This window comes from Homo sapiens, chromosome 4, assembly GCF_000001405.40.
Source record: "Homo sapiens chromosome 4, GRCh38.p14 Primary Assembly".
Lineage (NCBI taxonomy): Eukaryota > Metazoa > Chordata > Mammalia > Primates > Hominidae > Homo > Homo sapiens.
The window spans coordinates 10937408-10939000 of NC_000004.12; positions in this window are offsets into that span (position 1 = coordinate 10937408).

The following is a 1593-nucleotide window of genomic DNA, read 5'->3' on the forward strand; positions in this document are numbered from 1 at the left end:
ATTAACTTTCCCTCACCAGCCTGTGAAGAAGCAGTACTGATCCATATTTTATAGACAAGGAATAGAGGCTCAGGAAAGTTAAAAGGCTTGCCAACTATAATTAACCTTTGCTGGCTTTATTATGACCAGGCATGCCTCCAAATATTTTATATATGTCAGCCCATTGTATCTTCATGGGGTTGAAGCCAGGTGGGAGACAGGCTTTCCAAACCAAATTCTATCACCTTCCTTCACACATTCCCACCTTTCTGTGTGAGGTCCTGACCTGTTATTTCCCTCCTGCTTTGTTTCTCTTGGGATTGCTTATTTTGTGGGATATTTTGTCTTATAATCAAAACAGAATATAGTGTAAAGAATGTCACATGGGCAATAATTACATGGTGCTTTATAGGTTACGAATCAACTTTGCTGGAAATGTTTGATGTTTTCCTTTTCCTTACAGTAACCCAAGGATATGATTATCTTTACACTTAAATTGTACAAGTTAAAACAAACAAAAAAAACAGAAGTTCAAGAAAGCCTTATATATCCTTAGTACTAGTCCACATGTTTTCCCTTCTTATTGCTATTACTCTCTGTCCACATTCTGTGAATGACCAATTATTTGTCCTGTCTCAATATTCTTTACCAATTTTAAAAGCTTATCAGGTAAAAAAGAAGATACCAGCCAGTCCAAATAGAGTAAGCATTTAACATACCACCTCTTCACTTCCACCTTGGTGTTATACCAGCAATCAACACAGGTTTCCAGGGCTGAAATTAGGGAGATTACATTTTATGATGATGAAAATCTCTCTTTGGAGGGTAGCATTTTACCTTGTGTGCAATGAAAATCTGTTCTGACAGTTCCAATTATGAGAAACACTCCACCACTAACAGTTTGGCCGTGACTCACCTCCAAGTGTTTCCGTCTGCAACATCTGTCCAGTTTGCCTTTTCTTTTTTAAATCACAATTTAATTTTACATGGAGGATGCTTGTATAAAGCAAGACCCACACACCGTTTTATCAGGGAACCATTTAAAACAAGCATGTGATTTGGGATGCAGAAAATACTTCAGCCTCCAAAACTTTTCTAAACAGATTCTGGTCTTTTGTATCATTTCTGCCGTGGAGTAATAGGGCTAAGAGCTGAATTTTATGCTCTCAGTAACTGAGAACACTAGTAGATGATGTACTTGTATTCATAAACCATGGTCCTAGCAGAATAATGTATCTCTTCTTTTAATATTCAGATTTTTTTACTTAGGTTTTTAGAGAGGCCTTGGTGTGCAGTCCCTTGTCAAGTTCAAGAGTTAGTTCTCCTGGATAATATTCCTCTCCCTTTATGACCACCATGATTTATACATTACTTTTGTCATGGGGTATGTTCTTTGAGATTTTCTCAATAAGCTCTCTGAAGCTAGCATAAATTATCTTCTTAATATTTGAGAAATATTGTAGTTTTATGCAGTTCCTTAAGAACTCTGACCCTTTTTAAAGCTAATCCTAAATAAATTTTATTTCTAACCTCACTGTTTTACATACAAAAATTCATTGTGGCAGTGCAGTTACTTTTATGCTAGACCTTATTATATTAGAGGTTGATATGGTT